The 12,472-nt window shown below is 37.8% G+C and overlaps 1 long non-coding RNA gene across 2 annotated transcripts in view, besides 4 other annotated features; it reads left to right on the plus strand.

The window, feature by feature from the left end:
* The window catches only part of CASC2 (cancer susceptibility 2), a 163,333-nt gene extending 157,206 nt beyond the window's left edge, over positions 1–6,127 (plus strand). Inside the window, exons 4-5 of one of the 2 annotated variants that reach the window (NR_026939.1) lie at positions 2,496–2,595; positions 3,410–6,127. This is a non-coding gene — a long non-coding RNA (cancer susceptibility 2). The remainder of the gene's footprint in view (positions 1–2,495; positions 2,596–3,409) is intronic. The other variant, NR_026940.1, reaches the window with a different exon arrangement.
* Positions 112–696: an enhancer, noted in NCBI's record as "OCT4-NANOG-H3K27ac hESC enhancer chr10:119963650-119964234 (GRCh37/hg19 assembly coordinates)". NCBI's record gives its function as "activates a minimal SCP1, AML or CMV promoter by ChIP-STARR-seq in primed H9 embryonic stem cells {active_cell/tissue: H9 hESC(primed)}" and the evidence as "EXISTENCE:reporter gene assay evidence [ECO:0000049][PMID:30033119]".
* Positions 697–1,281: an enhancer, noted in NCBI's record as "OCT4-NANOG-H3K27ac hESC enhancer chr10:119964235-119964819 (GRCh37/hg19 assembly coordinates)". NCBI's record gives its function as "activates a minimal SCP1, AML or CMV promoter by ChIP-STARR-seq in naive H9 embryonic stem cells {active_cell/tissue: H9 hESC(naive)}" and the evidence as "EXISTENCE:reporter gene assay evidence [ECO:0000049][PMID:30033119]".
* Positions 5,231–5,525: an enhancer, noted in NCBI's record as "tiled region #3281; HepG2 Activating DNase matched - State 9:DNaseU". NCBI's record gives its function as "activates a minimal TATA promoter and a strong SV40 promoter by Sharpr-MPRA in HepG2 cells {active_cell/tissue: HepG2}" and the evidence as "EXISTENCE:reporter gene assay evidence [ECO:0000049][PMID:27701403]".
* Positions 9,767–10,966: an enhancer, noted in NCBI's record as "BRD4-independent group 4 enhancer chr10:119973305-119974504 (GRCh37/hg19 assembly coordinates)". NCBI's record gives its function as "activates an origin of replication core promoter dependent on BRD2, P300/CBP, MED14 and CDK7 cofactors, and independent of BRD4, by STARR-seq in HCT116 cells {active_cell/tissue: HCT116}" and the evidence as "EXISTENCE:reporter gene assay evidence [ECO:0000049][PMID:35650434]".

A 12,472-nucleotide genomic window follows, 5' to 3' on the forward strand; every position in this document is an offset into this window, starting at 1 on the left:
TTTTCTAATAAATCCATGCAACTGGAACTCTGAAAACAATCACTTCTAGATCTTTTGGGTAAGGTCAAGTGTGGAACTCTGAAATATCCCAAAGGTTATATGTTGTTAATACTAATGGTCACGAACAAGTATACATATAAGTATCTGTATATCTGTATGTAAGTATACATGTAAGTATATATAAGTATGAACAAGTATACATGTAAGTATCTGCAGGTACAAGCTGAAGCCAACCTATTTTAAAAATAGCAGTGAGCTTTATAATATTATATCCTGAACTCATTTCAACTGCGTGTGTAAATCACCACCTGTATCTGCAGAGAAAGTGTTTTAACCCAGCCTGCTGCCCCCAACCAACATTATTTCCAGCTTTGAACTTATCCTGGGATTGCTTTTGCTAGCCAGCTACTCTGCAGCTAAAGTGCTATTGTTCCCTTTAATAATAGCCTAAGCAACTGTTCCTTTTTAATGCAAAGTCCTGGAACTTAACAAGTTGATTACAAGATAGTGACTCACTTTTTATCTCTTTCTGTGCCTCCACCCCACCTAGATCTTTCTGCTCCTGCAAATTTTAGTGAGTGGGTTACCTAGAACACCAGTCCAATAAAGGTTGGAGTAGAATACCAGACAAGAAAAGGATGAGCTCATTTCTCCTCTATGCTGTCAGTCTTTGAACACAGTGAGACCTATTGTGAGTCTTCCTGCTGGGGAGGGTCGTGTGGTGCCTCCCACACACTGGCTGTGAACTTGTTCCCAACAAATGAGTCTGTGGGTTGGGAATGTCATCTATCTGAGCAGATATCTGCCCATATACTATCTCAGTACCAGCAAAACTCTGAGCCTAAAGGTGACACATGGCCAAGGGCTGCTCTGCTGTTAACCATGCACAATCGATGGCAGCAAAGGTTGAAGTGAGCATAATCTGCAACCTTTCCATGGAAGTCTTAAACCTTTCTCACAGTGGTTCTGCCCATTGTCAGACAATTATATTGGAGAAAGGTTTTCATTTTCATAGCATGTTCAGATTTTGGAGGGAAATGCAAAGAGCAGTGAAGGAGGAAAGGCAAACCCTTCCTCCCAGGCTTCAACAGAGTCAACCCGGGAATCAATGAGATGACAGATGTTGGAGACAGATGCCTGAATATCCACTCAATAGTCAGGCTTAATGAACTAACACAGGAAGAGCAATTAGAGAATTCATTAATTATACTCTAAGTTCACTTTCATTGTTAATTCTAATCCTTTATTTGGGCTAATGACTTCAGCTTTTCTTATAATAATTTGTGCCCGTCAGTGAATGATAACATCTTCAAATTTCCATAATTGTGTAAAATTCAAACTATATGTGTAGCTCTAAATTGGACCTAAAGTAGCTTCTAAGGGTACATAAGACACTTCAAGATAACATAAATGAGGAGAAAAACAAAAGTAAGAACATAACATGGAGTAAACAATAAGGCTAATATAAAAATACAAACTACAAAGTCTTATACACTTGCTTCAGGTTCTATCTTATAAGCAGGAATAGCTCAGATAGCTCAGCCAATATGTTCACCCATTAACAATGCACAGGCGTTTGTTTAGTCCTACAATTATATATGCACCACAGTAGATCCACTCTAACTCAACAGCTTGCTAATTGTTTGTCTTTGTTATTCTTGCATAACATGCTGTCCTGTATTCTTTAATCATCTATTACAAAAAAACAAACAAACAAAAAAAACAGAAATTCCTTCAGTGAATAAAACATAATGAAAAACGCATTTTTATTCCCTTTATGAACTCTGGCCAGCTTCTAAGAAAGGGTAATGAGATTTTGCACCGCTCAACTCTAAGTCTTACTCCTGAACCAATAAATATGCACTCATTTGCATACTCTCTTTCCATCCTTCTTGAGCAAGCCACACTGACACAAGAGCCTCCTTGCTAGGCACGGAAACTGTTTCAAGATGTTTCAAGCTGAGAAAGGGCCACCTGCATGCATTATGGTTAAGACTTTAAGTTATCTTACCACTCAAGTCTTCGTGAAAAAAGTTCAAAAGGTGTTCATCTGAATCATTCATGCTTTTGTTATCCATGACCTAAAGCAATATGGTAGCTTTTTTGTGTGGGGGCTGGTGGCGGGGCAGAGGTTGAACTTTTATTTTAAAAACATTTGTATGCTCCAATATTTCAATAATATATGGATTTTTATTATATTCTAAAGTTGTACTTGATATTACATATGGGCTAAGTTCTAACATGAAGTATTATAAAAATGATACAATTTATTTTAAAAATCTACCATTTTGATCAAAAAGAAGCCCATGTATGAAAATATAATTTCACAGAAATGTAAGATTTTTATCTTGTGCATTTTTGTTTGATTACATAAAGCAGGAAAAGATACAGCTTAATTTACTTCTAAGCTGATATACAATACCTAACTAAACTAGAAAACAATTACAGTAGCATAATTTTATTTGCATCTATGAGTATTATTTTTGTGATTTCAGAGCCAGAAAATGCATGACACAGGAGAAGATGTACCCTCATCTGTTCAGTGAGAGATGTGCAAATCAACATCAACACAGAACTGCTGAAGAAAAAAAATATGTGTGTGGATTATATATATACATATAAGTGTGTGTATATATATATATATATATATTTACATATATAGTATGGGCTATTTCACCTTTGCAAGCTGGGAGCCATTAAGTAATGGCTACCACCACTCCCCCACCCCCTTCAGTAAAACACATCCTGAACATTGGGCCCATGTTTTCAAGAAGAATGTGCCCCACTGCCCCTTGGAAACTCCATTTCATTTACTTGGTTCAGTTAGTTAATGACGGTCCATTTTGACTCAAATATCCAGTTCCCTTTCATCAATCATGTCTTTCTGGACTGTCAGTTTTAGGGCAAGGATTACAAAGCCCTTCCATGCAGATATCCACAGAGAAAGACCCAGACCCACATCCCCATTTAGGATTGCTTAGGGACTCATTTCTTCCGCTTCCTTCCAAATGAAAAGAATGAGCTATGTGAAAGGGGAAAACCCCACTGGAAAATGAATGTTGGTGACTCAAGTGTTAATCTAGAAAGTCTTATGATTTGGTGCTGGAAAAGGGCATTGTAATAAGATGGTTCTTTATACCATGCAAACCAGGGGAATACAAAACACTGTCAACCATGAAAATAAGATTTAATTTGGAATCACAACACATAGGGTTTTTTCCACTTTAAATTCTTTTTATTCATTCATATTTGTTATAAATATTCAATAGAAATGCAGTTTTTCAAGACTGAAATGGTCTTTAATGAAGCAAGCCATGTGTGGCTTTTCAGGCGAGCATTTTCATGCTTGGTTAACTGTAAGGATGTTCATGTTCCTTTCCCAAAAAATATGATTTGTGATTCTGCTTAGGTCTCTGAAAAGCAACTTATTCACTGGAGATGTGAGGAGCCATCCGCACATCACAATTCTATAGACATCAAACGCATGAAGCATTTCGGATCTGCTTTAAGACTGAGGCAGACTTTCCATCTGGACACAGCCGACCATCCATGTGTCATTACAATGAATCCAGCACTTCCCTGGAAGCTGGAAGGGTCAAATTCAACTTCAACTCTGCCACTTCCTGCTTAACTTGCTGTTTAACCTTGGGCAAGCTGCCATCCCACACGAGGCCGAAGGTGTCGGTTTTTAAAATACAGAAATTTGGTTCCATGAGGGATTATCAATATACTGCTGGTGGGCCAAATTCCATCTGCTACTTGCCTTTGTAAATAAAGTTTTATTGAAACACAAACATGCCCATTAGTTTACTCTTGTCTGTGACTACAAGGGCAAAGTTGAATAGTTGTTACAGAGACCATCAGGCTCACAAAGCCTAGGTTATTTACTATCTGCCCATTTACAGAGTAAGTTTGCCAGCCCTGGACTGGATAATTTTTTGAGTTCTTTCTAATTCTAGAATTCTTTATATATTTTATGAAACCCCTAATGTTTATATATTAATTATTTCAATACCCGTGTCTTTACTGAGTCCCTCCTATGAAGCATACATCAAGACATATGTGTGATACATTAACTAAACTTTTAACAGTATCTTAAATAGGATTTCAATGACTAACAGCTCTTGGAAATATCCAAGGTAACATTTGGGGGCAAATGTCTTATGATTTGATTATCATTGGTAAATAGAGCATATCTTTTTTTCCACTAACAATGTTTAAGAAGTTAAAAAAAAATCAAGAAAACCCCGTATGGCACTAGAGACTTATTGCATTAAGACATCATCTTAACAGATTGTTTAGTTTTGGTAATATAATTTGACATCTAAACATAAGCTGAGAGGGATCTCCCTCAAAACCTTTGATAATATGATTCATTGTCAAATGTTTGTTTTGCCTATCTGGCACTCATTAATTAATTCTTTTTAATATAGCTTGGATTTACTGATTTTGAAAAAGAGAATTATTCTTATTGATGTTGCTAAAATATCCAGGTGGCTTGAATTTCACCAACTAGATAGTTTAATCTAGCACATTTGTGTAGCCCTAATCAAATCTTTACTAACAGATGTGAGAAGCCCAGTACTGGAGCTAATGTTTGTGTCTCAATGATAATTAAATTAGCTTAATAAGGAAAATAAATGAACAATAATCACCAAAATTTTTCCCTAAACCTGTGTTATAGTCTTAAAAACATTTTTTCCCCTATGGAGGCTTTTGGTAATAAAACACAAATTGAGGGATTTTAATTAAAAGAAATTTTTTTTTCAAGAACTGGTCATGTACTAAATTGCTTATAATCAAATAATCAAGTAGCATTTCTTTTATTATAAGAGCAAAACCTATAATTAAGCCAAAATTCAAATTTGTTTTTAAAGGTTGAATAATCTTTTGTTTTGGCCAATAGTATGTGGATTTTTTTTTTAAGTATTATCTCTTTGTAGTATTTTCTAATGGATAGGAAATGCCTTTCTCAGGTTGAATGATTATTTCCACATAGAATTAGTTCCTGCTTACAACAGTGCTCCACTAATGTAATGGCTCGGTGAATTGGCTTTATAATTCATTAATCATAGCTCACATTGAGCTTTTGGCTCCAGGTGACAGTGCCCACCACAGGCCAAATAACTTCTCATTTAAAGGCAATTTGTACAAATAGGGAAGGTGAGAATTCTCACAGTCCCAGAGGGATTGAAGAGTTTTAAAAAACCAAGATAAGGCATTTTATGGAAGACAGGTTGATGGAAGAAAAGTGGCCATTGGAGGATGAGGCAGATGGCTTTCCAGGGAGGCCCTGGAGCTGCCACCATGGGGAAGGCCATGTTGCAGCTGCTGATCAGAGCACATTGGACGGTGTTTCCGTGTGAACATGAAGACAATGCTGCCTCTGTTTCTGTGACGCTGTGCTCTGATCTTGCTGGAGGCGAAGTGGTGTCAGCTGTGCTTACAGGACAGTCAGTGGTGGTAGAAAAGAGGCCAGTGTGACCTGTGAAGGACTGGGCCCCTCTCACTCAACCTGAGTGCCTGCAGTTGTGGCCACCTTTATTTGTGTATTCTACTGTATTTATTTATTTGCCTGGCTAATTAGCTCTGTGCCACATTCCTAAGCTAGATGTGTCCCTTCATGTAAGTGAGAGGGAGACAGAAAGAAAGACTGAGGTGGGGGGTAGGAGAAAGAGAGGAAAGCAAGCAAGAAGAAAGAGAAAGAGAGAAGAAGAAAGGAAGAGGAAAGAAAGAGAGAAAGAGAAAGAGAAGGAAGGAAGGAGAAAGAGAAGGAAAGAAGGAGCCTTCTAATTTTATTTCATTTCTCCAATAAATGTTCCTATATTAAGACTTTAGACAAAGATTAGAAATATGATTTGACAGAAAGTGTATGGATGTGTTGTTCTATTGCATTGTAAGTAAAGTATCCATGGCAATATACAAATAATACAGCTCCTACCCCTATTCTCTGTTGTTACTTTCATGTGTTGTCTTAACTTTTTAAATTTCAAGATAATATTGCGCTTATTTATTTTTCCATGAGGAGGCCTAGGATTTAGCTTGATTAGAAAAGCTGTGGAAAATGAATGTGCTAATTACTTTAAATCAAATTGAAAATAAATTTTATCCTGTTTCATGCAAAACATAGTGTATTTGACTGTTAGTTCATTCAACTAATAAAACCAATTATGTCTATAAGTGATTGGGCACTTAATAAGCCAGCCCCTGTCCTAATGCTTTCTTTATCTCATATAATTCACATCATGAAGCGATGGGAAGATCTCAAGTGACCCATTAGCCAGAAGAGGAAATCAAGCCTGCTATCAAGACTAATGCTGGGAGAATTTCTCCAGGGCACTTAGGTGAGGGTCTATGGTTAACTTTCCATGGCTATGGACCCCATCTCCACAAAGCACAAGCACTCAGGCAAGTTCACAGTGTTAGCATGAAACACACTCTGGGGGCATGATCACGTGACTCATAGTGAGTCACTAGAAGTTGTGTTAACATGTCTGGTATACAAATTTAAACATGAATATTCCTTCAATCTGAGCAATTTATATAACTAATTAATTTAAAATATTTGAATTATTTGTATGGGAACAAGAGCTTCTGGCTTACAGAATTCCCAATGTATAGGGCAGAGCAATGCATTTAGAAGATGACATGAAGTATCAAAAGTATTGCAAACCAAATCAGTGGGACAATTGGGAAAAACTGAATAAGGTCTGTAGATTAGGTAACAGTGCTATATTGATTCCAAGTTCCTGATTTTGATTTTTGTACTGCAGCTATGAAAGACAATGTCCTTATATGGGGGAACTACAACACTAAAATATTCAGGGGTAAAAGGATATAATGCATACAATTTATTCTCAGATGGTTCAAGAAAAAAAATGTACCCATTGATCTATTAGTCTTTTAAAAGAAGGAGAGTACGCTAAAGCTACTGTGGTAAAATGTGGACATTTTGGAAATTTGGATGAAGGGTATATGAAAGCTCTTTGTCTTATTTTTGCAGCTTTTTCATATGCCTGAAATTATTTCAAAATTAAAATGTAATGATAAAAAAAAGAAACTTTAAAATAAGCGAGGCTCTGGGCTGGCCTGATTTTGGAAGGCATAGTGCCAGAGGTATCAGTAAAATGCCAGGGTGTTTTGAGACTGCCATGGCAGAGAATGTTTCTCTCAACATGTTTGGAGTTTGGTTTCTGGAGGCCAACATGATCATTGACTCTTGATGGCTAAAATATTATTCATTTGCCAGCAATTTATTTGACTGGCTGCTGGAAAATGTTTCACTAAACAAGGAGTACCAACAACAACAAAAAAAGGCACACTACCTTTGCATTAAATACTCCAAGTGTAATAATATGTGTCAACATGTATATTGTTTTCCTTATAGACAAGTGTTTTTGTATGCTGAATTTTCAGTTATCAATACCAAATATTAAAATATTCCTATGCATGGTGGCTCACGCCTGTAATCCCAGCACTTTAGGAGGCCGAGGTGGGCAGATCACCTGAGGTCAGGAGTTCCAGACCAGCCTGCCCAACATGGCGAAACCTCGTCTCTACTAAAAACACAAAAAATTAGCCAGGCATAGTGGCGGGCACCTGTAATCCCAGCTACTCGGGAGGCTGACGCAGGAGAATCATTTGAAACTGGGAGGCGGAGGTTGCAGTGAGCTGAGATCACACCACTGCGCTCCAGCCTGGGCGACAAGAGTGAAACTCCATCTCAAAAAGAAAAAAATATATATATTCCTATAAATGTAGATGGTTCACAAACACCCTGGATAATATTAAGAAGTACCTTCATGAGAGTATATTTTATACTCAAGGGGAGATAACAGAAACAGGGAAAGTAACTTCAGAACTAAACTAAGAATATAGAAGAACCATAAAATTTAAGAACAAATAAGAATATGAGACTGGAAGAAGGTAATATATTTCAATTCTTAATGTATTGAGTGCTTAATGCTTTTTAAGGTTGCCCTCTGTGCTTGACACAGGATTTTCACTAGCACCAGTAAATTAAAAAAATAAATAAATAAACAGAGGGAATTTAAATGTCAAATGTTTCTCCTGACTTTGCTTGGACATTAAGTACTTGACATTTAGGAAGTAGGAGAGGCCCTGGACTTAGTCTATGGACCCAAAGCCAGTTCTAGTTCCAGATCTGCAACATATGGGGAGTCACCAAATGGCTGCCCTTCTCCAGTTATGTTTCCCTATCTATAAAATGAGGAGGTTAGTGTACATTTATGATAACTTATGGCTATTACACTCTGACCAAAAACACTCTATGAGCTTCCCTTGTTAGACAGAGGACATAAATTCCAAGGGGGAACATTCAGATTATTCTGGAAGAGCAATTAAATGCAATTTTATTGCATGTAATATTGCTTGAAAATATTGAGCTTACAAGCTAGAACTCAGTTTTGGATTATGTGGACAGTGTTGTTTTCATGAGTTTTTTTTTTTTAATAAGAGAAGTTGGCATGCAAGCAAATCATATATATTTTTTTCTTTCTAGGTTGAATGTTTAACTAAAAGGTAACCCATTTATCTACATTTTAAAATAATTTTTTTTGTACTGGAGACATCCTTAGTGAGTTTGGTGGTTCCATCTCTTTTCCCTTCCTCCCAGGAAGAATTTATATCTGGAGAAGTCACCCAAATGTCAATCTTTTGCATGCTACTTTCAATATTTTTCCACCTGTACTATTATTTATTTAACTTTTTTTCACACTGACTCATTTTTTTAAACTTTCAGTGCCTACCCCAACCTCATGCATACCAGTGGTATATGCATTTCACCCTTCGGGAAAATACGCCATAAGGGTTGGCAGTGATAATGAAACATTTCTAATTTGCCAAATGCTTCCACATATATTAGTTTATCTAATCCTTACAACCTCCAGTTTTACAGATGAGAAAATGGAGACTGGAAGAGATTAAATGATTTGTTCTAATTACACAGCTAATTAGTGATTAACTAGAACTCATGTTCAAATCTTCTAATTCCACATCCCATTATCTCCTTGCCACATCAACAACATTATGGATTGTAAGGTTCATGTTTCTTTTCCCTTCTTGAAAGTATTTTCCATTTTGACTGTGTTCCCTATCCCTAGTTTTGGGGAAATGGGGAATGTGTGGATTTCAAATAAAATATCCAGGGTTATATACTATATGTTTATCATATATTATTCTATAACTATGCTATATACTCTATGATAAGTAGTATGTATTATATAATATATATTATTTGATTTAAAGACAGAAAGTTCTGATATCTTGGTTTGATTTTTGCTACCCAAACACTCACAAGCAGAAGAGTTGTTCTTTAGCTGTTATAAATTGAGCTTATTTCCTTGTGAATTCAAGCAAACATGAAATCCCCTGCTTTAGTGAAAGAAATCAGATAAGTTGCTGATTGGAATGAGCTACTCCGGTTTTCGTTTATTTATTTTTAGCGTTCATTGTCTCGGTTGGTGAGTGCATCTTGGTTGAAAGGAGTTAAAAATACAGTCAAAGAGATTTTCTTTCCTCCTTTCTTCCTGTGGATCATGACCTTTGCTTTTTTCAACTTCCTCAATTTAGATTCAGTAAATTGTCATAGAGTGCCACAACACCTGCTTCGGTACTTGAGAAATTGACTTTTCCTGCAAATTACCCTGACCAGTGACCTTGTCTTGGCTACCAAAGAGTTTGGAGAAGGAGGGAGGCTGTATGTGTGGCCGTGCCCCAGCCCATGATTGGTATTTAGCTCTTTGAAGTTCAGTTATCTATTTAATGTACAGGCATTCTGAAACGAATGCCACATTATAATCATCAACCGGAAAACCCAACTATCGCCTCTTAGAGAAATAACATTTGATCTTATGAGGGATAGACTGTGGTATAATTTAAGAGCTTCCAATGATAATTTTCTTAAAGAAGGGGACATTTGGTAGATTTGTCTTTTTGCTGTGAGGGACTATCTCGGTTAGGTGTCAGTGTAATTATGTGAGAGTGATAGGACGGAGGATAGAGACAGTCAGCAGTCAGCGTTTGGTGTTTGGTGTCTTTCAAAGGTGCTTCTTTTGCAGGAAAATTTAAGATCCATGCCTCCTGCCACACAAGCATTGGAAGAGATCAAAGGCCACCCCTGGAAGCTCAAGAGGTAAAATTTTATTTTTATCCTCTAGCTTTGATTTTTGGCAGCTTACCGCATTTTTAAAAAAATTAATTGCTCTGTCCAGCCAGCAGGTGTTAGCCCTCAAGTGTGGGCCCAAGGGCCGGCTGCTGGGCAGGCAACTTAAAGGCCCCATAACTCACCACAACCTTGAGCTCCCTCAGATTGGTCCAGGAGAAAGTTCTAAAAGTACTTCAAGGCCAGATGACATGGGAACCTGTGTCCCTGTCAAATATCAAAGAAAAACAGTTAGACTGTAAAAATGTAAACTTATAAAGCACGCACTTAATTTTGACAAGCTTTTAGTATCGAGTTGCAGATTTTAGGCAATAAGGCAGCTTAAGCTAAAATTGGCCGTAGGAAGCAGAACCTGAAAGCTCATTTGGAATTATATGGGGAGACCCTGACTCATTTTTTTCCACATCTGTTCACTTTAATTTAGACAAGACGAAAAGTTTGATGCGCAACTTAAGGAGTCAAATCTCCTTTTTTACCTGTGATTCTCAAAACTCCCAAGATTTTTCTTGCTTTTCATAACGTCGCATGAAGGTTAACTTTCATTTTGTAATTGATTAGAACACTGTTAAAATAGTGTTTCAAAATTGTCATGCTGTAAATGAAAACACAAGGGTTGGGTTTTTTTCTTTTTTTCCTCTTTAAACATCTGAAAGAGCAGGGCTTCATAAAATACTTGACCTCATACTGAGTCAGCTTAGAATGTCTCTAGAAAGCCTTGTTTCATCAGGGCCATCTGTGCCCTGTACATGGATGTGGAGTTATGAAAGTTATGGCACAGAGAACGTCCAACAGTCATTGTCGTGATGAAGAGACTGGTATTGAAGGATCTTGTATAGCTTTAGTTTGTCTCTGGGTGTATAGATGCCTTGTCGATGTGTCAGCTTGTTAGGTTACAACAAAGTACTAATGAGTTTGCAATAGTTGGTATGCCAGGCAGTTACTTTTAATTTATCTCACCAATGACTGCTCTCTCATTTCAATCCATCAGGGAAGGACCAGGAGAGTCCATGGGGGGCATGGGCAAATATCAAAACCTACGTTTTCTACTAAGTAAATACCTCCGATTCACATCTCACTGGTTCTGGGGAAGCAGAGCGACCACTCTGTATAAAACAGCAAACTGAGAAAGAGATCGATAGGTCATCAAAGCCACCTGCTTGCTTGGTGGCCCCTCAAGTTGTCTTCTGCTCAGAAGTTCTGAGAGTTGATGAAAGTTATCATCGAAAGTACCCAGTCCAGCTCAGGCCAGTCCATATTGCTGCCAAGTAAACTATTTTTAAAGTTCTTGGGGTTTTGAAAAATATTCTGACTGGTGGCTGGGCATGGTGGCTCACACCTGCAATCCCAGCACTTTGGGAGGCCAAGGCAGGCAGATCACCTGAGGTCACGAGTTTGAGATCAGCCTGGCCTACACAGTGAAACCCCATCTCTACTAAAAATACAAAAATTAGGCAGGTGTGGTGGCACACGCCTGTAATCCCAGCTACTTGGGAGGCTGAGGCAGGAGAACCACTTGAACCCAGGAGGTGGAGGATGCAGTGAGCCAAGATCACGTCACTGCACTCCAGCCTGGGTGACAGAGCGAAACTCCATCTCAGAGAAAAAAAAGAAAAGAAAAAAGAAAAATATTTGACTGGAGGGTTAGCTGTATTCCTTACTTTCTCTTTATTCCCACCCCACCACTCCAAAAAACACTGGCTCAGTGACCAGGCCGCTGATAGCACAATGTGCTTTCTCACATGGAGAGGAGGCGAAGCTTCAGCATGTGAATTGTATTCTCCACAACATATGGTGGAGAAAACAGACAGTGGGAAGGGGAGTGATTTGTGACTGTTCATCCCAAACTGCGTTCTATTGTGTTGCCAAAAATGATAGACTTAAATAAATTGCTCTTTTTGGAATTTATACTCGTGCCTTATTCTCATTTTTTTAAAATGAAGAAGAAAATCCTCATGTCCATGTAGAAATTCCCATTTATTTATGTGGTTCCCTGGCCTGCCCCCTCCTCCCCCTGACTTCCTTACCCCAGCAGAGCCGAAGGCATTTTGAATATAGAAACTGCGTGTCCCCTTGCAGTCAAGATGAACAAGAAAAGGAGGTGACGTAAAAGGGGAGAGAAAGCAATTAGTGTGGAATCCTAAACTCCAGATTCTTCTCAGAAATTTTTATGGCTTTTCTTAGGCAGCCGAGGAGAGGCTGATTTACTTAGAGAAACTATTAAGCCTGGTGCAAATTAATTTTTGTTGGTCTACATCTTCTTTTTTAATTTTGTCAATTGCAGCGCCTATT

This window comes from Homo sapiens, chromosome 10 (genome assembly GCF_000001405.40).
Source record: "Homo sapiens chromosome 10, GRCh38.p14 Primary Assembly".
In the NCBI taxonomy this organism is placed as follows: Eukaryota; Metazoa; Chordata; class Mammalia; order Primates; family Hominidae; genus Homo; species Homo sapiens.